Raw genomic sequence first — 24,206 nt, 5'->3', positions numbered from 1 at the left:
GCATGGTTGTGGGCGCCTGTAATCCCAGCACTTGGGGAGGCTGAGGAAGGAGAATCGCTTGAGCCCAGGAAGTGGAGGTTGCAGTGAGCCGAGATTGTGCCATTGCCCTCCAGCCTGGGTGACGAGCAAAACTCCATCTGGGGCAGGTGGAGGGGTGGGGTGGGGAACAAGGCAACAAAAAAATACACTGAGCTTGTATCTCAATAGGAACAGCCAATGCTAAGCTAACACTGCTTTTAGGCAGCTGCTGAGCCACAGCTAGTTTCACCTTGCTTTGTAACAAACAGAAGAGCAATTACAGTAAATGCTTCAACTCATCAATTAGTGGTAAGTATTCTGAATGAATTTCTGGCTCTTGTATTATTTTGTTCTTTCTTACTCCTCAACCTTTCTGGTTTGTATCTTTAATAGGGTTGATTTTGTATTATTCTTGTGTGTATGCCTCTCTTCATAACAGAGGATGCACTTCTAAAAGTCGGGAAACATATCCTATCCAGAACTTAGATATCACAGTACCTAATACAGTGCCTGAAAAATGGTAGGTTTTAGTAAACATTTATGAAATTTAATAAAATCTGATTTGAGTTTAGAAAACCCAAATTGTGCTTAACTCTATGGTTACAGACACAGGAGAAAGCGAGAATGCAATACTCTGAACAAGGTCAGTTTGACATACAGAGTCAAACAGAGATGTCAAACTTGCATATAATTTACCCTTATTTATTCTTTTTGAAGAAAGAAAGGATGTCCTTTAATATTTTCAAATTTTGAAGTGGCATCCATGACCAAGTAAGTAAAAAACATAAAGCATATTAAAAAATATATAAAAGAAGTTCAGATCCAATAGTCTTTTTAAAAACTTAACTAGTCAAATATCCAAAGAACTATTTAATTCCAAGTGTTAAGTTACATAGTTAATACATTACCAACTGTAAAATTTCAGTGATATGCATCACAATTGCAAAAACTGAGGCTACATGAGTGAACAGCACAAACGTTTGAGTCTTATATGAATTCATTTAGAGATTTAAAATGAAACGATGGACCTTCATTTGAGATTGCTCACAATTTTTAATATGTATACTTGATTGTTAAAATAACATGCTGTCTTCAGAAAACTGAAATTTTTGCCTTCTTCAAAACTAATCTGTTCTTTATTAACAAAAAGCCATTGTGCACACTTTGGCAAAAGTCTGAAAATTAGTGAGATAATATCTGTAAAAATTTGACTAGAATTTTTATCTAAAATTATAACTTTTTAATTAATGAGATTATAAATAGTTGAGTAGGAAGCTACTAGGAGACACAAAAGAGAATTTCAAGTATTTTATTTATTGTAAATGTTGTATTTGTATATGTATATATACACAAACCAAAAACACTTTTAAAAAACTAATGAAATTCAGTTAATAAACCTATTATTAAACTTTATTATGAAAGGTTATGAAAAAATTTTTAGTGCTTAAAATTTTACGATCCATACCATATCTGCCATAGTAAAAATTCATTTTTAACACAGCTAAGATGATAACTCATAGATACCACAGTAACTTTTTTGTAGGTATTTAAGAAAACCATTTCTTCCTTCTTTCTCCAGCCTAATTTCTATGAAAATATTAGTGTCTAATATTTTACATGACCCAGCACACCTTAGTAAATGTAAACATTCTAAATGATTTAATAGCAAGCTTTGAAAGTTCAGATTTTAAAGTGCTCATGAAATTCTCAAGTGGTTTTGTAAAAGTTCAATTGATTGAAGATTTTATAATTGCTCCTGCTTTATTATAGCCATGAATCAACATATTTGATTAGATCTATTAAATACTTCGTACCTTAAAGCTTATAATTTATTTAAAATAGTGCTATTGTGAACGAATGTCATGCTTTCACATGATTCATAATAGAAATTCTAATATTAAATTAATTTCTCTAAGAGTTATTACCTATAGTTGAAAGGTCATAAAAATGGAAGCGAGTAACTGCGTGAATACACACACACTCTTTTAGTATATTTTGTACTTTCAAAATAATATGACATCTTAATTGTGGTTCTTGTGCATTCTTTTGAAGACAATATTTGCTTATTCATGTAGTGAGTGACAGACAAGATTCTAGAGTATGATGATTATTAATTCGTGCATGATGAAAAATATTAGATATTATTGGCAGCTGATTAGTCAGTTTTCACAGGTATTAGATTATCACATGTTCAATGAGGAACTACATTAATGATAACTAAGGTAGAAAATTCAGAATAACACTTAAACACTTAATGACAAAACTCTTACACCAATACAGTTAATTTGAGAATCACTGCAATAACATGTTCAAAAAATCCATGATTAGTGCATTAACCTCACCGATGACTGAATAAGACTTATTCAATGATGGAAACGGAAATGTTATTGTAAATTCCCTGGCTTTACTGCATTTCCTTGTATTTCACAACTCTCACACTCAGTTTCTGTTTTTCTGTGTTAGTGAAGTCTGTTTTGTGGTGTTTTGTTTTCATTCATAGTTGCAACAGAAAGGCTTTTCAAGAAAACATCAAGAAAAAAAAAAAGTATTAGCTCAGTTCCCTGAAGACATTTGCAAAAAGAAGGTTAAAAAAATCAAGTGAGGGAACTATATAAAGGAGGTGCAGGAGCAGGACGGGCAGGAATTAAGTTTCCCTGAGATGATACTTTCGGTTGTGGTGGAGGTGGCCTGCGAGGGGAAAAGAGATAGTTAATAGAGTGTTTAGACTGGGTGAAATAATGCCATATTCATTACAAGCTCAACATAACACCATCCTCAACATCTCTGACAACAGGAAAGGGTACTGTACATTCTGAGATCAGTATTAGGGTGATATTCAATGGCTAAAAGGCTCCAATTAGAGTCTAAAATGGAATAACTACTTTAAATAATATTACTCCATAATCAACAATGTTGTATGAAGGTTCTAGTTTACATGTTTTTTCAAAAAAAAAAAAAGCACATGAAATGGTAAAGATAAACTGTAAAAGACAAGTGAGTACACTAAGTGATCAAGCACTTGCCTGTGCTGTTAGAATTTGAGGGCAGCAAATTACTGCTGGTGTAAACCTAGCTGTTTATAGCTCCCTCAACATGAGATTCACTCTGAGAATTAAAAGTGTTATGACTTCTATACCTGTCCATCTCAAACCTCATACTTCCACCTGTGGACACCCGCTCCTAACCTCATCATCCAATTCTAGTACACCTCTACTCCAGTAACACTAGAACACTACCTGGTGAATGTTTCCCTCACAATTTATATACTCTTTCCCTGATCCTCAGTCGGATTTCAATGTATTCTTACTGTATAATAAAGATTACATATGAAGATAGTCCTCAGAGTTGCAACGCAATTGTAATTTGAAAGACTTCTAGGGGATGGGAGGGTCACATGCATTTGCATTTTATGTGATACAAAATGAAGTAATAAATTATCTTCCTTCCTGATGATTTTAAGCCCATCCATTGAGTCACTTCAGTTCCTGTGTTTTTCAGTTCTAGAATTTGCATTGATTCTTTTAGTTTTTAGTTCTGTGCTGAAATTCTCAATCTTGACTTTTAATTCCATGACATCATAGTTATTTTAAAGTCCATGTCTATTAACTGGATACCATCTCAGTCTGTTTCTATGGTCTATTGTTTCTTGGTTTTAGTCATATTTTCTTTTCTTTTACACTTGGCTTTTTTTGATCATGAGCAAAACATAAGAAATTGTAGAAATCAGTTGAAGGTCTAGTTCACTCTTACTTCTGGGTCCCAGCACAGACCCTGAGATGTTTGCCAGGGTGCCTCCTCTTTGGCAGGATTCTAAATTTTGTCCCCTCTGCCCTGTGAGTTTGTAGAAAGCTCTCCTCAGCTTCCTAGCCTCTCTGTTGTCAGAACAGGTAAACTCATCTAGGAAGGAAAAGTGGCCCCCAAAGCTGGGATCATTTCTAGATTTCCTTCCTCTCCTGACCTTACCCCCACAATTCCTCACTTCTTTAGTCTTCTATGCCTTCAAACACATATTTTCTTATATTGTCCAGCTTTTTTAGCTGTTTTTGACGGGAAGGCTGTTCCAACCCATCTGGTTTCCTACTGCTGGTTATCTCAAAGGCCCTTGCTTCTAAATCGTATGCACATGAAAGCTGTGGCAGCAGAATCTGTCTTGCTCAAGCTTATTTAATATTTCATTTTGACCCTGTACCAATATGATAAAATTTATATAAAGTTATTTTAAAACCTTTCTGCAAATCATATTCTTGTAAACTGTTGACAATAAATACCTTTCACTAAATTACATTAAAATACAGGGGAAATTATTAGACATTAACCCCTAGGTTTTATTCTGGCCAAAAAATCTAAGCAAATTTTCTTCTGACCTTGATGGGAACTGCTGAGGTTGCTTGGCTGCATAGGTTGGTACTGCAAATCTGTTTGCATATATAGGCTAAAAAGAAAAAAAAAATAAGGTTATTACCACTATGTGCTCATAAATATGATTTCTAAATAGAAGAAATCTACATATTTAAAATCAATAAACAGACTACAGTTGAATATTCCTTATCAGAAATGCTTAGAACCAGAAGAGTTTCAAATTTCAGATTTTTTTTCCAATTTTGGAATATTTGCACGTACATAATCAGATATTTTGGGGACGGGACCCAAGTCTAAACAGAAAAGTCATTGATGTTTCATATAGGCCTCATACATATAACCTCAGGGTAATTTTATACAATATTTTAAATAATTTTGTGCATAAAATAATGTCTGTGTATGCTGAACCATCAGAAAGCAAAGGTGTTACTCTCTCAGCCCCTCATGTGGACAATCTGTGGTTGTTTGGCTCACCATCACTCCTGACTCTGAATTTATATACTACTGGTAAGCAATCATTTTCTTAGATTTATTCACATATAAGTACTAAACAGTGCATTCTGACTGCAACTCATCACATGAGGGCAGGTGTGGAAATTTCCACCTGTGGCATCATGTTGGTGCTCAGAAAGTTTTGGGTTTTGGAGCACTTTGGATTTTCAGATTAGGGGTGCTCAACCTGTATTTATTTATAATGCTGACAGTCAAAAATATTTTGCTTATTTGACATATCTTTACCACTGAATGTGGAATACTTAATTCTTTTAAGGTATTTTTTTAAATTCAGTAATACCAAAGTACTAAGATCTTGGTTCAAACCAACTGTATTAGTTAGAAGGTAACATATTTCCTATGTCAATGTATTTTAAATAAAATCTTCCAAAATGTATTGCCAAACCTATACAGTATCTAACTAATACTATAAAAACCACTCAGCTAGAATCCTCGGTTTTGGAATTCATTATATCCTTCCTTGATGAAGTAGTTGAAGTTTACAACAAAGTGAAACTGTATAACTTAGCCTCAAATAAGAAAGTAAAAGTAATATTTTTCACATATCACATTACACTATAAGACGTTAGGAATGATCAGATGGAATTACTAAATCAATGATGAAGTGACCTTGACCAAGATGTTCTTTACTATCTACTGTTAACTCCTAAAGTTCTATGACTGGCAGAGAATGCACAGTGGTGGTGAAGACCTTGAGCACCCTCTGGCTTCTACCATAGAACAGGTGGTCTATCATCTGCAATTTTTTTCCCCACAGAATGATTTATATGTACTGTGAAAATGGGTGAAAAATGCAACAAAATGTCTCCATCCCTTTCCACAAGCCATAGGAACAGCACTCTAAAGGGATCAAGTCCACTTTTGGAATGACAATGTGGTGAGGTGATGGGTATGGGAATTAGCTTCACTGAATCTTTTTTTTTTTTTTTTGAGACGGAGTCTGGCTCTGTCGCCCTGGCTGGAGTGCAGTGGCGCGATCTCAGCTCACTGCAAGCTCCGCCTCCCAGGTTCACACCATTCTCCTGCCTCAGCCTCCCGAGTAGCTGGGACTACAGGCACCCACCACCACGCCTGGCTAATTTTTTTTTCGTATTTTTAGTAGAGACGGGGTTTCACCATGTTAGCCAGGATGGTCTCCATCTCCTGACCTCATGATCCGCCCACCTCAGCCTCCCAAAGTGTTGGGATTACAAGTATGAGCCACCGCGCCCAGCCGACTGAATCTTACAACAAGGTATACATAGACCAAAACATCACATTGTGGCCAGGCGCCTGTAATCACAACACTTTGGAAGGCTGAGGCAGGTGGATCACATGAGGTCAGGAGTTCAAGACCAGCCTGGCCAACATGGCAAAACCCCGTCTCTACAAAAAAATCACCCGGGCATGATGGCGCACGCCTGTAATTCCAGCTACTCAGGAGGCTAAGGCAGAAGAATTGCTTGAACCCGAGAGGCAGTGGTTGCAATGAGCCGAGATCATGCCACTGCACTCCAGCCTGTGCAACACAGCGAGACTCCATCTCAAAAAAAAAAAAAAAAAAAAAACAAACACGATACCCCAAAATATACACAATTATTATTTGTCAATTAAATATAAATTAATGAAAACAAGCTAAAGATTACAAGCAAGCAAGGTGCTGGATATGTTAATTAGCTTGATTTAATCACTTCCACATTGTTTACATAAAACATCATGCTGTACCCCATAAATGTATACAACTATGATTTGCCAATTAAAACTAAAATTAATTTAAAAAAATTTTAATCTTTTTTGGCATTTATCTGACATATACTTTTAAATGTATGCAAAGATCTATTTACAAGGATGCTTGGTGCCACATTTTTTTATGGTATAAGACTGGAAACAACCTGTTTTTAAATTTCTGGTAAATTTATAAGAGGGAACAGCATGCGGTTATTAAAAACAATGAAGTACATGTTCACTTCTTGCAAATAGTGGACCAAATGTCCAGAGGAAACTTCCCAGTACAGTACACCTAAAATGCTGCCTAAAATATTTAAAAGGTATTTTGAAACACTTGGCTGGGTTGGTGGGAAGTAAGAAACATCTTACAGGCCAAAAAAAAACCAAGAACGTATGAAAGAGTCCAAACTACGGAGTTGCCTTTGTCCTGTGGAAATCTTCCTATCCTTGGCAGGTGGCAGTATGCGTTTTCAGTGACCCATAGATAAAGGAGGCAAAAGCTGGGGCCTGAGCTGGATGGAATGGTGAATACAAGGCCCTATACAAAGCCTAGACATATGAAGGGTGGTATCCCCATGGGTTAACTAGAAAAACAAAAACCTGCCTCAAGGAAGGCCCGTGGTGATACTGCCTTGGTGCTGATAGATGGGGAACTAAAAAAATAGTCTCCATGGAGAAATTCTTACCACACACCCATCCTCATAAGAGTTTGGGGACCAGAGTTCCTAACATTTGTGTGGCAAAAAAATATATATATATCAACAAAAATTTCAGTTTAAAGACATCAAAGATTGACCATGCCCCCAAGCATCTGGCAAAGAAAAATACTCTCGGTAGGAACCCACTATAATTCAGGATTCAAATATATTTATTTCCAATATAAAGTTCCAAAGAAGGTGAGTTTACAATCAACATCACAAGGGCACTAAGAAATGAGCCATCACGAGAGTCAGCAGAAATAACAAACCTGAGAACCCACCAAGGGCATACATATTAAAATGATCAGATACAGCACAAAAATTAGGTGTTTGAATATGCTTTAAGAAATAAAAGCTTTAAAACAGATAATAAAACTATAACAAACAATCACAAATAACCAGGCAGATTCGAAATAGAACTAAGTAGAACTACAGGAATTAAATGTACTATAAAACTAGTGAAATGAGATATTCAATGAGTTGGTTAAGTAGATTTGGCATAGTTTAGTAGAGACTTAGTGAATAGAAGGTAGATCCAATATAATCAGAATGGAATACACAAGAATATTGGAAATACCAAAGAGAGGTTAAGAAACAGAGATAGTAAAAAGTCTAACATGCAAGAAATGCATGAAAGAGTTAATTAGATAATGAGACAGAGGCAATAAAGAAATAATTGCTAAGAATTTGCTAGAACTGAAAAATGTAAATCAACTCCGGAAGTCTATTTACTGGCAAAGGAGTTTTTTTAAGTCCACATCTACACCAAATAGTCTAAAGATACAGAAGAAAAAGCCACATGGAAAAGATATCATCTACAGCATCAATTAGAGTAACAGACAATGTTTAAATTGCAACAAAGGATGTTAAAATATAGTCTATTTAAAGTTCTTAGGAAAAAAAAAAGCTGTCAGCCAAAAACATCCGGAAAAGACAAAAACTGACAGAATTTACTACCAAAATACCTTCGCTAAGGGAACTTCTAAAAGATACCCAGTTGAAGTAGATATATCAGAAAAATAAGCTGAGATTCAATAAGGTTGAAAGCAGACAATCAACACATGGGAAAATAGCTAAAGCTCACAGAGCACTTCACATGTGCCACAAGCACTTCTCAGTGCTCCACACATACGAATCCCTCTGATTTTCACAAAAGTCATTTGTGATTAGTACTATTATTATTTTACAGATGAGGAAACAAGTACAGAAAGAGTTTGAGAATCTTGCCTAAAGTCACAGCTTATAAAGTGACAAAGGCAGTACTCAAACTGGGCAGTTTGGCTCACAGTCCATCCTCTTAATTAATTTAATTGGTGTATGGCCTCACAAACCTAAACAAACATTTCATAATTCAATAGTCATATCTATATTGTAGAATTTTTTTAAAAAAAAGACTTAAAATACTAGACAACAGGCCAAGCTCAGTGGCTCAAGTTGTAATCCCAGCACTTTGGGAGGCCAGGGCGGGCGGATCACGAGGTCAGGAGTTCGAGACCAGCCTGGCCAATATGGTGAAACCCCATCTCTACTAAAAAATACAAAAATTAGCTGGGAGTAGTGGCGCATGCCTGTATTCCCAGCTACTCAGGAGGCTGAGGCAGGAGAATTGCTTGAACCTGGGAGGCGGAGGTTGCAATGAGCCGAGATGGCACCACTGCACTCCAGCCTGGGCAACCGAGAAAGACTCTGTCTCAAAAAAAAAAAAAAAGTCAGAGAGACCACAGTATCACAGACACCTGGGGGTGCTCTTGAGTAGAAACTAGCAAACCTCCACAATTAGGAGACTGCAGAAAAAAACCTCACAGAGGACACATCCCCAAAAAAGATTTGAGAGGCTACCAGAATCTCTAGCCAGGCTGAGTAGCGTAAGTCCTCCTTGTACAAAACAAGGCTGCAAAATCTGAGAAAGGCAGCTAATTCTTCAAATGCCAAAATCCCAATAATAAATGACAAATAATACAAAGAAATAGAAACATGGCACATTTAAAGAAACAAACTCAATCTCCAGAAACTGACCCTAAGGAAACAGATATATATAAATTACCAAAGAATTCAAAAATTACCATCATAATGATGTTCAAAAAATTAAAAGAGAATGCAGATGGACAACTAAAAGAAATCAGGAAAATGATGTATGAACAAAATGAGAATATCAACAAAGAGACAGGAACTATAAAGAAGAACCAAACAGCAATTCTGGAGCTGAAAACTACTGTAATGCTAAATTGAAAGATTCACTAAAAGGATTCAACAACAAACATGATGAGGCAGAAGAAAGCATCAGTGGACTCAAAGACTAGTATATTCAAAATCAAAGTGGCAGAGGAGCAAAAAAGGTGAAGAGAAAGGAAAATAAATAGCAACACAAAACCATATGAAAATATAAAACTCGATAATAATGGTAAGTGTATAGACAGAGAATCCTGTAGTACTGTAATGTGAGTGTGAAAATCACTTTTAAATCTTGTTAGAATGTTAAAAGCATAGCATAAAAAGTAATGAATCTGTGTTAATGATAAGCAATATAAAAAGAGGTAATTTTGTGTCATCAGTTACATAAAGTGGAAGAAGAAGAAATATAAAGGGGTAGAGTTTTTGTGATTGAAGTAATCAGTTTAAAATAGATTGCTATAAATTTATAAAATATTTTATGTAATTGCAAAGATATCACAATATATGTGCTATAGAATATGCACAAAGGAAAATGAGAATCAAAATATTACTACAAAAAAACAAAGAAAATGATTAATTTATTGTATATTTCAAAATAGCTAAAAGAGTAGAGTTGGAATGTTCCTAACATAGAAATGATAAATCCTTGAGGTGATGACTATCCCAATTACCCTGATTTGATCATTACACACTATATGCTTGTTTCAAAATATCACATGTACCCCATGTGATATGTACAACTATTATGTATCCATAATTGATTTTTTTAATTAAAAAGAAATACAAAAGAATGCAGCAAGGGAAGAAGGAAGGGTCAAAAACAAAATAGCAATAGTAAGTCCCCATCTATCAGTAATTCTTTTAAATATGAGTAAGTATTCTGTGCAAATGGAAACCAAGAGAACAAGGATAGCAATACTTACATCAGACAAAATGATGTAACATCAAAAACAATAAAAACAGAGATGAAAAAGTGCATTAATGGTAAAGGTGTCGATTCATCACAAGGATATAACAACTGTAAATACATATGCAGCCAATTTAGAGCACCTAAATATATAAAGCGAATATTAATTAATCTGGAGAGAGAGCTAAATAGCAACCCAATACTACTAGGAAACTTCAATACTTCACTTTCAACAACAGATAGGTCATCCAGACAACAAATCAGTAAGAAAACATTTGGCTCAAACTAGACTTTAAACAAAACAGATCTAATAGACACATTCCATCCAACAAAAGCAGAATACACATTCTTCTCAAACGCACACAGAACATTCTCCAGGACAAATAATATGTTAAACTGCAAAACAAGCCTTAACAAATTTTAAAAGACTGACATCAAGTATGTTTTCCAACTACAATATTAGGACTCAAAATCAATAACTGAAGAAATTTAGGAAAGTCACAAATACATGAAAATTAAACAACATGCTCCTAAACAATCACTTGGTCAATGACAGATAAAAAGAAATATTTTAAAATATAGCTGACACTTAAGCAACACGGGTTTGAACTGCACAGGTACATCTATATGCAGATATTTTTCAACCAAACACAGATTGAAAATACAGTATTCATGACCCACATATACAGAGGGCCAACTTTTCCTATATGTGGGTTCTACAGGGCCAACAGAATTAATTGAGTATAGGCAGATTGGGCTATATGTAGGGGTCCTGGAACCAATCCCCAATGTGTACCAAGAAACAACTATATCTTGAGACAACAAAAATAGAAACACAACATAACAAAATGTATGCAACACAGAAAAAGCAATTCTAAGGGGGAAGTTTATAGCAAGTCTATACCAATAAGTGCCTACATTTTTTAAAAAATCTCAAATAACCTAATGTTACACCTCAAGACCTAGAAAAAGAGGAACAATCTGAGCCTAAAGTTAGTAGAAGAAAGGGAATAGTGAAGTTCAGAGCAAAAATGAATGAAATACTGGAAAAATAGTATTAATAGAATCAATAAAACTAAGAGTTGGTTTTTTGAAAAGATAAATAAAATTAACACACCATTAAGTAGACTAAGAAAAAAAGAAAGAGGAATCAAAATCAGAAATGAAAGAGAAGACATTACAGCTGATACCACAGAAATAGAAAGTTTTATAAGAGACTGCTATGAACAATCATACACCAACAAATTGAACCTAGAAAAAAATAAATTCCTAGAAACATACAACCTATCCAGACTGAATCAAGACAAAATAAAAAATCTGAAAAGATCAATAATAAGTAAGGAGATTGAATTAGTAACTTTAAAAAGTCTCCCATTAAAGAAACTCAGGACCTGATAAAGTCACAGATGAATTCTACCAAACATTTAAAGAAGAACTAATGCAATCCTTCTCAAACTCTTCCCAACACTTGAAGAGGAAGGAATATTTCCAAACTCATTTTACAAGGCCAGCATTACCCTGAAACCAAAGCCAGACAAGGACACCACAAGAAAAGAAAATTACAGGCCAATATCCTTTATGAACACAGATGCAAAAATCTTCAACAAAATACTAGCAAACTGAATTCAGCAGCACATAAAAGGATATTTCCCAATGACCAAGTGGGATTTATTCTGGGGATGCGAGGATGGTTTAACATATTCAAATCAATAAATAACAACATTAACAAACAAAAAACAGAAATGAAGAACATAGACTAACAAAAACCATGTGATCATTTTAAGAAATGAGGGAAAAGCATTTGACAAATTTCAACATTCTTTCATGATAAAAACTCTCAACAAATTTGTATAGAAAGAACAAACTGGGCCAGGCATGGTGGCTCACGCCTGTAATCCCAGCACTTTGGGAGGCCGAGGCAGGTGGATCACCTGAGGTCCGGAGTTCAAGACCAGCCTGGCCAATATGGCAAAACCCTGTCTCTCTACTAAAAATATAAAAATTAGCTGGGCAGGGTGGCACATGCCTGTAATCCCAGCTACTCAGGAGGCTGAGGCAGGAGAATCACTTGAACCTGTGAGAAAGAGGTTGCAGTAAGCCGAGATCGTGCCACTGCACTGCAGCCTGGGTGACAGAGCGAGACTCTATCTCAAAAACAAAGAAAAAGAAAGAAAGAAATAATGAACCTCAGAACAATAAAGGCTGTACATCACACGCCCACAGCTAACTTCATACTGAACAATGAAAAACTGAAAGCTTTTCCTCTAAGATCAGGAATAAGACAAGGATGTCCACTCCTACCACTTCTACTCAATATAGTACTAGAAGTTCTAACCAGAGCAGTTAGGCAAGAAAAAGAAATAAAAGACATCCAAATTGGAAAGGAAGAAGTAAAACTGTCCTTGTTTGCAGATGACATGGTCTTTTATATAGAAAACCCTAAAGAGTCAACCAAAAAACTGTTAGAACTAATGAATTCACTAAAGTTGCATAATACAAAATCAACATATGAAAATCACTAGTATTTCTATACACTACAACAAGCTATCTGAAAAAGAAATCCAGAAAAAAAATTCCATTTAGAATGACATCAAAAATACATACATAAATAATATAGGAATAAATTTAACCACAAAAAATAAGTATCTGTACAAGGAAATCTATGAAACATTGATGAAAGGAATTGAAGACATAAATAAATGGAAAGATATCCCATGCTCACTGACTGGAAGAGTTAATATTAAAATAACCACAGCAAACTACAGATTCAATGCAATATCTATTAATATTCCAATGACAATTTTTGTAACAATAGAAAAAATACTAAAATTCATATGGAACCACAAAAGACCCAGAATCACTAAACCAATCTTGAGCAAAAAGAACAAAGCTAGAAGCATCACATTACCAAATTTCAAAATATACTGCAAAGCTATACTAATTAAAATGGCATACTACTGGCATAAAACAGACATAAAGACAAATGGAACAGAATAGAGAACCCCAAATCCACAACTTTATGGTCAGCTAATCTTCAACGAAGGTGCCAAGAATACACAATGAAGAAGGGACAGTCACTTCAATTAATAGTGTTGGGACAACTTCATATCCACATGAAGAAAAATGAAAATGAACTGGTATTTCATACCATATACAAAAATCAACTCAAACTGGATTAAAGATTTAAACATAAGACCTGAAACTATAAAACTACTAAAAGAAAACATAGGTAAATATTCTTAGGAGTACTGCACTGTACATGTAAAAATTGTTAAGATGGTAAATATTAGTGGGTTTTTTTTTTACCACTACTGTTAAATTTACAAAAAAATCTTGAAAACAATGGTTAAAATGGCAAATTTTATATATATTTTGCCAAAACCAAATAAGAAATATATACATATATGGCAATGATGAAGAAGAGTATACAGATAATTTTGAACTAGCATGCATATGGCCTTTGTGGCCATCCTGTATACATAACAACATGGAAAAATCTCCAAGATACATGGTTAAGAGGAGAAAGGGCCTAACGATTTTTGTCTCCTTTTTATAAAGATAAAGGGGGTGGAATAGGGAGATTGTGTGTGTGTGTGTGTGTGTGTGTATAAATATATTAAAAAATGAAGGATTTCTAATCATTTTCAACAGTGAAAATGAATGAATCACAGCTATATCTATCGATAGAGATAAATCACAAAGTGACATTAAGGGGAAAAACAGGTTGCAGATATATGTGCAAATTATCAAATAAAACGTTCTTAAAAGTTTTAAAACATTAAAAAATTACATATTGCTTAGGGATACATGCAGATCAATAAAAGTATATCATGATCTAAACACTCAATAAAAGTATATCATGATCTAAACACTCCCTAATACACTTGCAGAACAGTGACTATCAGTCCTACAGCTTAGACAATTAGGCCGATCCAAGAGCTCAGCACCAGGTCTTTGGTAACATCCCATAGGGAGATGGAGACAGGTATTGAAAATAGGAAAAGAGCAGACACAGAAAAAAGCAGTGATAGCATACGTCCCATGTCATTTCCCAATCCTGGTTGCTAGGCAAGGCATTCCTAATGTCCAGCTGTCTTTTTCTGTGTCCTCTGAGCCAAGGACTCCGCTGGTTTTCCTTTAAAGAACTCAGGGGGCAGGGCACAGTGGCTCATACCTGTAATCCCAGCACTTTGGGAGGCCAAGGCGGGTGGATCACTTGAGGTCAGGAGTTCAAGACCAGCCTGGCCAATGCGGTGAGACCCCGTCTCTATGAAAAATACAAAAATTAGCCAGGCGTGGTGGTACACACCTGTAATCCCAGCTACTCGGGAGGCTGAGGCACGAAATCATTTGAAACTGGGAGGCAGAGGTTGCAATGAGACGCAATTGTGCCACAGTACTCCACCCCGGGCAACAGAGCAAGGCTCTGTCTCGAAAACAAAAACAAAAAACTCAGGGACCACCTACAATACTCTTGAATTCTTAAGAAGGTATCTATGTTTCTAGCTATAGCTATATAACTGTGTTTTTAATCCTTAAGCATTTGATCCTTTAATACAGTAAAGAAAAATAATTTTTCATTTTATACTTACAACTTCTCTGGGAGGTGTCACTGGAGAAACATGTCGAGGAACACTCCCCGGCTGTCTAGAAGGGTTTGCTTGATTTTTGCCATCTGACCTGAAAGATACAATTACTTTTGATCTAAATTAAGATAAAAACATTTCTACATGAAATATTACACACATTTTGCATTTTCCCAAATACAGAATAATGATGTTGGTAGTGGTGGGGATGATAATCATGATACGGTTTAAATTTTTAGGGCATTTTAACAGCTTTCACGTATTTTTAATCCTTATGGTATTAGAAAGCATTACTAACCACATTTTATAATTAAACTGAAATTTTAAGAAATTGTGAAATTTGGTCAATTAGGCCAATGTTCCCTAACTTTTCTCAAGTCTTCCTAAAATCAGAGAAGAGTAAAAGCATATTCTCAGGTTGCCAAGTAGTCATTTTAAAAATTAGGAAATCCAAGGGTAGTGAATGGATTGGCTGGAAAGGTAATAGGTAAGTTTTAGACATGCTGAAGTGACAGCAAATCAGTGCAGTGGAGATGTATGAAAGATAGCTGTAGTTATGGAACTCAAACTTCAAAAATGCAGATGGGGGAGTTATTTGCATAGACTGGTCAGTTGGAAGTATGATACGAAGTATCTACTTAGTCCTCTATCAGAAATTGGTGTTAAGCAAAATGAACCCTGAGGGTCACTTTCAGCAGCCTAAAGGCTGACCAACATAAGCCTTTCTCCTCCCCATTAAAAGAGGTGGCTTGGTCACCACCACCTTTCAACCCATGCTAATCATGTCAAAAGGTCAGAGAAATAACTTAGAACCCTATTTTAGAGGATTACCAATCTCTGGTGATATGACTATCAGCATTAATACTTTATAAATTATTTAATATAGGCTGAGCGTGGAGGCTCACTCCAGTAATCCCTGCACTTTGGCAGGCTGAGGCAGATGGATGGCTTCAAAAAGTTCAAGACCAGCCCGGGCAACATGGCGAAACCCCATCTCTACAAAAAAATATAAAAATTAACTGGGTGTGGTGGTGTGCCTGTAATCCCAACTACTTGGAAGGCTGAGGCAGGGGGAATCACCTGAGCCCAGGGAAGTCGAGATTCTGTCTCAGAAAATGTATGTATATATTTAATATAGGAATTAAAAGAAAAAAATCTAAGTACTCATATGTTTGTGATCTCTTCTTTCTGAAGTAGCTTCTCCACAGTTGATCCCTCTTGATGAAGATAAAAATAGCACAGACAATAAGGGGAACAATTAGGAAGAAGAAGACCAGAAGTCCGTCCCTCAATGCAGTATTCATTTCTAGAGAGAAGAATTTTACATCAACAGTCACCAAACTCATACTAGGCAGAAAATACTAGATGATTATAAACACTTTACATTAATTTTCACATTACTCAAAAATCAAACTGATATTAATTGAATATATTGAGAAGTCTTCCACAAAGTTCATTCCTGTCCGCTTTACTTCTGCCTTCACAAAAATAACCACTTTTATTAGTTTCTTCTGTAACCTTACAGTATTTCTTCGAGCAAACAATCAAGAACAAAATACGTTTCTACTGTCAACACTTTCTTACACAAAAGGTAGCATACTATTTATATACCATTTGGTGCATCAGTTTTTTTCCACTTATCTGTACATAGTGGACCTCCTCGTTTTCCATACAGCTATATGAAACTCCATTGTGAAGATGTTCTAGAGTTTATTTAACTTGTACCCTACTGATAAACACTTATATTTTTCCAATCTTTTGCTACTACCAAAAAAACTGCTATAATGAATAACCTTGCACATATGTTGTATCATATTAGTGCAGGTATAATAACTACAGAATAATTTCCCTAAAGCAGAAATGCTGTATCAATAAATAAGTGCATTCATCATTTCTTTTAGGTATTGTCAAATTGTCTTTCAATAGTAATGGTTACAATTTATAAGAATATTACAAGCAATATATAAGAATTCCCCATAGCCTCACCCACAGAGCCAAATTTCCGGATTTTTGCCAACCAGGCAGGTGAAAAATTTTCTCTTATAGAATTTTAATTTACATTTTTTTATACTATGAGTTGATAATTTTTTTTTCTTTTCTTTTCCCGAGATGGAGTCTCACCCTGTTGCCCAGGCTAGTGCAATGGCACGATCTCCACTCACTGCAACCTCTGCCTCCTGGGTTCAAGCGATTCTGCTGCCTCCACCTCCCGAGTAGCTGGGATTACAGGTATGCGCCACCACGCCCAGCTAATTTTTTTGTATTATTAGTAGAGACAGGTTTCACCATGTTGGCCAGGATGGTCTCCAACTCCTGACCTCATGATCTGCCCGCCTCGGCCTCCCTAAGTGCTGGGATTACAGGCGTGAGCCACCGTGCCTGGCCTCACTTTTTTCTTAAGGAAACATTATTTATTTTTTTCTGCTCAGTCCTTTGACTGTTTTTCTACTGGACTCTTGCTTTTTTCTTCTTAATTTCTAAAAGTTCTTTATATATTAGAGAGATTAGCTTTGTCCATGATACAAGTTGGAAATATTTTCCCCATTTTAACCTATGGCACTATGCTTTTCTCCACGGAAAAGTTTATTATTTTTGTATAGTTGAATTTATCAATCTTATTTTTACGCCTTCTAGATTTTAAGTTTCATTAGAACTTTTACAAATTCTTTAAGTATTTTATCTGTTCTGTGTTCTTTTGAGAAACAATATAGTAGATATAAACGGGAGTGGTAAACTGATTCATAATTTTAAGTTTGTAAAAGAACCAGAAATTTCTGTAAAAAGTTGTATAAAACTGGCCGGGCGCAGTGGCTCACACCTGTAATCCCAGCGCTTTGGGAGGCCGAGGCAGGCGGATCACAAGGTCAGGAGATCGAGACCATCCTGGCTAACATGGTGAAGCCCCGTCTCTACTAAAAATACAAAAAAAAATTAGCTGGGCGTGGTGGCAGGCGCCTGTAGTCCCAGCCACTCGGGAGGCTGAGGCAGGAGAATGGCATGAACCCGGGAGGCGGAGCCGAGATTGCACCACTGCACTCCAGCGTGGGCAACAGAGCGAGACTCCATCTCAAAAAAAAAAAAAGTTGTATAAAACTATATGAAACAATATTTATCCCAACTGAAAATCAAAATACAGTTGGCCCTGGAACAATGTGGGTTTGAACTGTGCAGGTCCACTTATATGCAGGCTATCTTGTGTTTCTGCCACCCCTGAGACCAACCTCTCCTCTTCCTCCTCCTCCTCAGCCTACTCTACAGGAAGATGATGAGGATGAAGGTCTTTATGATAATCTACTTCCACTTAATGAATAGTATATATATTTTCTCTTATGATTTTCTTAATAAATTTGCTTTTCTCTAGCTTGCTTTATTATAATAATACAGTATATAATACATATAACAGACAAAATCTATGGTAATCAACTGTTTATGTTATTGGTAAGTCTTCCAGTCAACAGCAGACTATTCGTAGTTAAGTTTTGGGGAAGCCAAAAGTTACACATGGGTTTTCAACTATGCAGGGAGTTGGAGCCCCTAACCTTTGCATTGTTCAACGGTCAACTGTATAAAAAATTAAAGCAAGCTTCATATATCATTTTATACTTACTAATGAGTACACAAAATTTAAATTAAAGCATTCAACACTGGCAAGATTATTTTGAAACTGATACCTTCGCACTGTTAGTGGCATTACACAAATGTATCATTTATTAGGAATTTTTACTCCTAAAAGAACCATAAAAAGGATTATTCTCTTCAAACTAATCTCATTACTGGCAATTGATTCTTCAATTGGAAAAATGCATACACATTAACATGTACACTACAATGTTAACAGTGAGTTATCAAAACCTTAGAAACAATCTAAATGTCAAATAATTAGAAAACAGCTAAGTGAAGTTATAGCACATCCACTGGATGAAATGATACACAGCCATTAAAATCCATAGTTCTGACTTCCAGTTATAGCCAAGGTGGAATAACAGGGACCAGATTTACTCTGCCAGCTAAAATAACCAGAAAACCAGACATAATATATGAAACAACAGTTTTCAAGACACTGGACATCAGGCAACAAAGAGCAATGATCCCTGAGAGGCAGAAAAAAAAAATGTGAGCCTTAGAATTGTCCAAGGTTAGTGCCTAAAGAAAGTTAACAGACACTCGGGTGTGGGCACCAAAGCAAAACCCAGTGGTCTCCCTCAGTTAAAGAGATGGAGCTGGTATTCTGAAGAGGGCAAGGCAGCTACAGTTCCTAGGCAAAGTACCAAAGGGAAGAGAGCTACAGAGAAAAAGCTGAAAGATCTGCATCGGTGCTGATGGATATATGCATGTAAGGAGACCACATGAAGCTGGAGAAAGAACCATGTGAAAAGATTGGTGGAAATAAGCCCCACAGCTCACACAGGACTAGGAAGAGCACTTGCTCCTATAATTCAGTGGGAAATCTCATAATTAACGTGGTACTAAGCAGGATAAACAGAAGTGGTTTTGCCTCAGTAATGAAGCAGAATCAGCCCTAGACTAAATGCTATTCAGGTCCTGCCTTAAAAGCTTAAAAGCAAGACCCAGAAGGATCAAACTATGTCGACGTAACTCAAACATACTAGTACAAACCTCATCAATAGAAATCCAAAAATATCCAATAACCCACAAAGTAGGATTTAAAACTTCTGGCATCTAATAAAAATGTATAAGGCCTACAAAAATACAGAAAATAAAAGAGGGAAAAATATCAAAACTGAGAAATTACCCATATGACAGAATTAGTAGACAAGGACATTAGCAGTTATTACAACTGTATTCTATTTGTTCAAAAAAGTAAAGATTGAGCATCTTATGTAGAGTCATGAAAGATATATAAAAGAAACAAATGGAACTTCCAGAAATAAAAACTACAATGTCTAAAATGAAAAACACACTAGATCAAGTTAATGGCAAATTAGACTTCACACAAGAAATGTAAACTTGAAGAGTAACAGAAGTTACTCAAAATTAAACATGGAGAATAAGGAATAATTTTTAAAAATCAACAGCCAGCCAGGCATGCTGGCTCACACTTATAATCCCAGAACTTTGGGAGGCTGAGGTGGGTGAATCATTTGAGGCCAGGACTTTGAGACCAGCCTGGCCAACAGCGTAAAACCCTGTCTCTACTAAAAATACAAAAGTTAGCCAGGCGTGGTGGCACACGCCTGTAGTCCCAGCTACTCAGGAGGCTGAGGCATAAGAATTGCTTGAACCCCGGAGGCAGAGATTGCCATGAGCCAAGATCATACCACTGCACTCCAGCCTGGGTGATAGAGCAAGACTCTGTCTCAAAAAAAGTAAAGTTAAATTAAAATTTAAGAAAAAAAAACAAAAATAAAAAATCAACAGCCAATCAGTGACATGTGAAATAACACCAAGCAGCCAAATATACATAAAATTGGAGGACCTGGATGAGGAGAAAGAGGAAGACAGAAAAAAATATTCGAAGAAACGATGGCCAAAAATTTTCCAAATTTGAAGAAAACTATAAAAGCACAGATCCAAAAAGCTCAAAAAATCCCAACTACACCAAGGCACAATATAAAAACCAGAGATAAAGAGCAAAACATTACAAGTGACCAGAGATTAGAAAAAGACATATACGGAAGACATTATATACAAAGAAAAGGATGATAGCAGATTTTTCAGGAAAAACAATGCAAGTCAGAAGACAAGGAATATCCTTAGAAGTAAAACGGGAGGAAAACTATCACCCAAAATCCTTGCCCAGTTAAATTATTATTCAAGCAGCAAGGCAAATTAAAGACTTTTTCAGACATACAAAAGCTAAAAATATTTGTCACTAGCACACTGGTATTATAAGAAATGTAAAAGGAAATCCTTCAAGCAGAAATTAAATCAGATTGAAATGCAAATTTACATAAATGAAAAACACCAGAAATGGTAATTATATGGGTAAATATAAAGACTTTTTCTACCATTAAGTCTCTGAAAGATAATCAACTGTTCAAAGCAAAATGAGTAACAATGAATTGTGGGATTTATAACATTAGTAGAAGTAAAACATGTGACAACAATGGCACAAAATGAGAGAAATGGAAATATACTGAAGTGTTACAATATCACTACAAGGAGACTGATGGAAAATATCAAGACAGTAAATTTAAACATAAACACATCAATAGTCAAGTTAAATATAAATTATCGAAACAACTTAATTGAAAGACAGAGAATGGCAGATTAGATAAAAAGCAAGATCCAACTATATGTACTAATTACTATAGCATGATATAAAGAAATTAAAAGTAAAAGGATGGGAAAAGATTTTCCATGCTGACTAATTAATAGGAATCTGGAGTAGCTATATTAACAATATCTCATTGCAGGGCAGAGAATATTACTAGGGAAAAAGAAGGCTATTTCATAAGGATAAAGAGTCAATTTACAAAGAGGATAGAATAATTCTAAGTGTTTATGTACCTAATAACAGAACATCATAATAAATAAAGCAAAAATTGATAGAACTATTAAGAGAAATAGGCAAATTGGCAGTTATAGCCAAAGAACTCAATATTCCTCTCAATAACTGACAGAGTAAGTAGACCAGAAAATCAGTAAGGATATGAAAGATCCGACTACCTATTAACTGACATGAACTAATAACTTACAGAATATTCCACCTAAGAATAGTAGAATACGCATTCTTTTCAAGTGTACACAGAACTTTTACTAAGATAAACCACATTCTGGGCTACAAGACAAGTTTAAAAAAAAAAAAGGATTCAAGTCATACACAATATGTTCTCTTGCTACAGTAAAATTTAAATTAGTAACATTAAGATAACTAAAAAATCCACAGGTATTTCAAAAGAAATAGCACATATCTAAATAACCTGTAAGTCAAAGAAAAAAAAAGCATATTAGAAGGTATTCAGAACTGAATGAACATGGAGGTATAACATGTCAAAATTTCTGAATTAAAGGAAAACTGATAGCAATAAAATGTCTGTATCAGAAAAAAAAAAAAAGATGACCTCATCCTCCACCTTAAGAAACTAGAAAAAGAACAAATGAAACCCAAAGTAAGCAGACTAAGAGAAAATATATACAAGGCACATATTTCATAAAGAACTTGAATACTTGAATCAGTGACATGCAAAGAACTTTCAAAACTCATTAAGACAATCCATTAAAAACTGGAAAAAAGATTTAAACAGACACATAACCAAAGAAGATATGTAGATGGCAAATAAGTACAAGAAAAGATGCTCAACATCATTAGTAATTAGAGAAATGCAAATTAAAACCACACTGAAATACCACTACATACCTACTGGAATGGCTAAAAATTAAAAAGACTGACAATAGCAACTGTTAGAGAGGATGTGGGGAAATTGGGGGAATTCTCTCATATACAGCTAGTAAGGATGTAAACTGGTATAGCCACGTTGGGAAACAGTTTGGCAGTTTCTTTAAAAGCTTAACATACACCTACTATATGACTAGTCATTCTAGCTGGTAGTTACCCAAGAGAAAAAAAGCATATGATGTCACTAGAAAGATACCGATAAACTGGGAGCTCATGGTCTATCAGGGAATTTTAAAAAGCAAATCAGTAATTAGTATAGCAATTAGTGCTAACAGATAGTGCTAACAGTACTAGAAAAGCAATAGAAGGAAATGATAATTTAGATTTAAGCAGCCAGGGGAAACTTTCTTTAGAAAATGAGGTATAATCTGAAACCTAAATAGCAATTAGCCAAGGGCCAACAATGTGAAAATAATACGGTATGAAAGCCCACAGGTAAAAGATAGTAGCCTAGTACAGGAAATCAAAGAAGTTACAATATGTCTTCAACATAGTGAAATGAGGCTTGAAAGGCAAGCTAGGGGCAAGTCATGCAGGGCATTTAACCCATGTTAAGGAGTTGTGGACTTCATTCTAATAGCAATGCAGACGCACTGAATTAAAGCAAGACGCTGACAAAATCAAAACTGAATTCTTGTAGGAAAACACTGAAACTGTAATGTAGAGTGAAACATGGATTATAGGAAGCAAGATGAAAAATAGGGAGCCTACATAAGAGGCTATGATGTATGTCCAGGCAAGAAATTGAAAGTAATAAATGGGGATGAGAAAAATGGAAACAGTCACAAGGAATTTAGGAGGCTGAATCAACATAATTAAATGTATAACTGATGTGGGAAGTGAGGGAGAGGTACGAGGATGCCCAATTTATGCCTTGGGCCACTGGGAGATCACACTAATTTTCTTCTATATTACTTGCCATTGTATGTAGGTCCACTGTCCACACTTCCTCCGTATCCTTTAGTCTCACAATTTGGGGGAGCCCAGCCATTTTCACAGTGACAATTCTTATTGCTATTACATACCTTCAAAACAATCAAAATACCACTTTTGTTAATTGTGAATGTTGCTCTATATCATCAACTCAAGAATGGAAACCAAGAGAAAGGACTAAATTCATACAAGCTTACTGACACTGTTTAAGAATGAAAATTTTATCAGGAATCTAAATTCCCCAACATCTGAAAATCCTGGGAACTCTCATCTAGTCCTGAGATTTCTCATTATTTAGCACTACTTTCAGGAACAAGCCAAAAGAAAACATTACCTACCCCATGTCCATGACACTTTTTCTGAACATCACAGTCATAATTCAGAACAGAAGCATCTACACACTGGAAGTTTCTACAGATCTGAAAAAAAAAAAAATGAACTAAGTAAAGAAAGATTGAGCACAGTCATTAAAAAGTACCCAGAAAAAAGACCTGGGTACAGATTATTTCATTGCAGAATTCTTTCAAACTTTCAAGGAACCATTAATTCCCATATTATATTTTTAAAAATGCAGAAAAATAAGTGGCATTAATTAATTGATACAAAATTAATTATCAAAAAACACAAAGATGACATAAAGACCAAAAACAAAGATAAAACTATTATCTATCCTTCCATGTGAATATTGATGTGAAGATCCTAAATAAAATATTCACAAATAGACTTTTTCAAATCAAAAGTAACTAGATAGAGTTAACCCCAGGACTACAAGAAAGTTTCAAGGATAGAAGGTCTATTTCTATTACACCTCTCATAAAGTGTTGTTACTATGACAGATATCAAAAGGATAATATTTAAAACTCATTTTAATTTTTAAAATTCTTTCAAAAATAAAAGGGTACTTTGTTGACAAGATAAAATCTGTTTTCTAGTACCATGATTAGATATTTCTA

At 35.3% G+C, this 24,206-nt stretch overlaps 1 protein-coding gene across 5 annotated transcripts in view; it reads right to left on the bottom strand.

The window, feature by feature from the left end:
• ADAM9 (ADAM metallopeptidase domain 9) overlaps positions 1,052-24,206 on the bottom strand; it is a 108,289-nt gene continuing 85,134 nt past the window's right edge. For 2 of the 5 annotated variants that reach the window (NM_003816.3, XM_011544682.3), the window contains exons 17-22: positions 23,592-23,672; positions 23,240-23,345; positions 16,125-16,266; positions 14,967-15,054; positions 4,383-4,450; positions 1,052-2,706 (exon numbers count right to left, since the gene is read on the bottom strand). In NM_003816.3, the coding sequence (NP_003807.1) occupies positions 2,613-2,706; positions 4,383-4,450; positions 14,967-15,054; positions 16,125-16,266; positions 23,240-23,345; positions 23,592-23,672 (579 nt within the window). In that variant the 3' untranslated portion in view covers positions 1,052-2,612. The remainder of the gene's footprint in view (positions 2,707-4,382; positions 4,451-14,966; positions 15,055-16,124; positions 16,267-23,239; positions 23,346-23,591; positions 23,673-24,206) is intronic. The other 3 variants (NR_027638.2, NR_027878.2, NR_027639.2) reach the window with 3 other exon arrangements.

Source organism: Homo sapiens, chromosome 8 (assembly GCF_000001405.40).
Source record: "Homo sapiens chromosome 8, GRCh38.p14 Primary Assembly".
Lineage (NCBI taxonomy): Eukaryota > Metazoa > Chordata > Mammalia > Primates > Hominidae > Homo > Homo sapiens.
The sequence above is the reverse complement of the archived record's forward strand: the minus strand, read 5'-3'. Positions and strand labels throughout refer to the sequence as shown.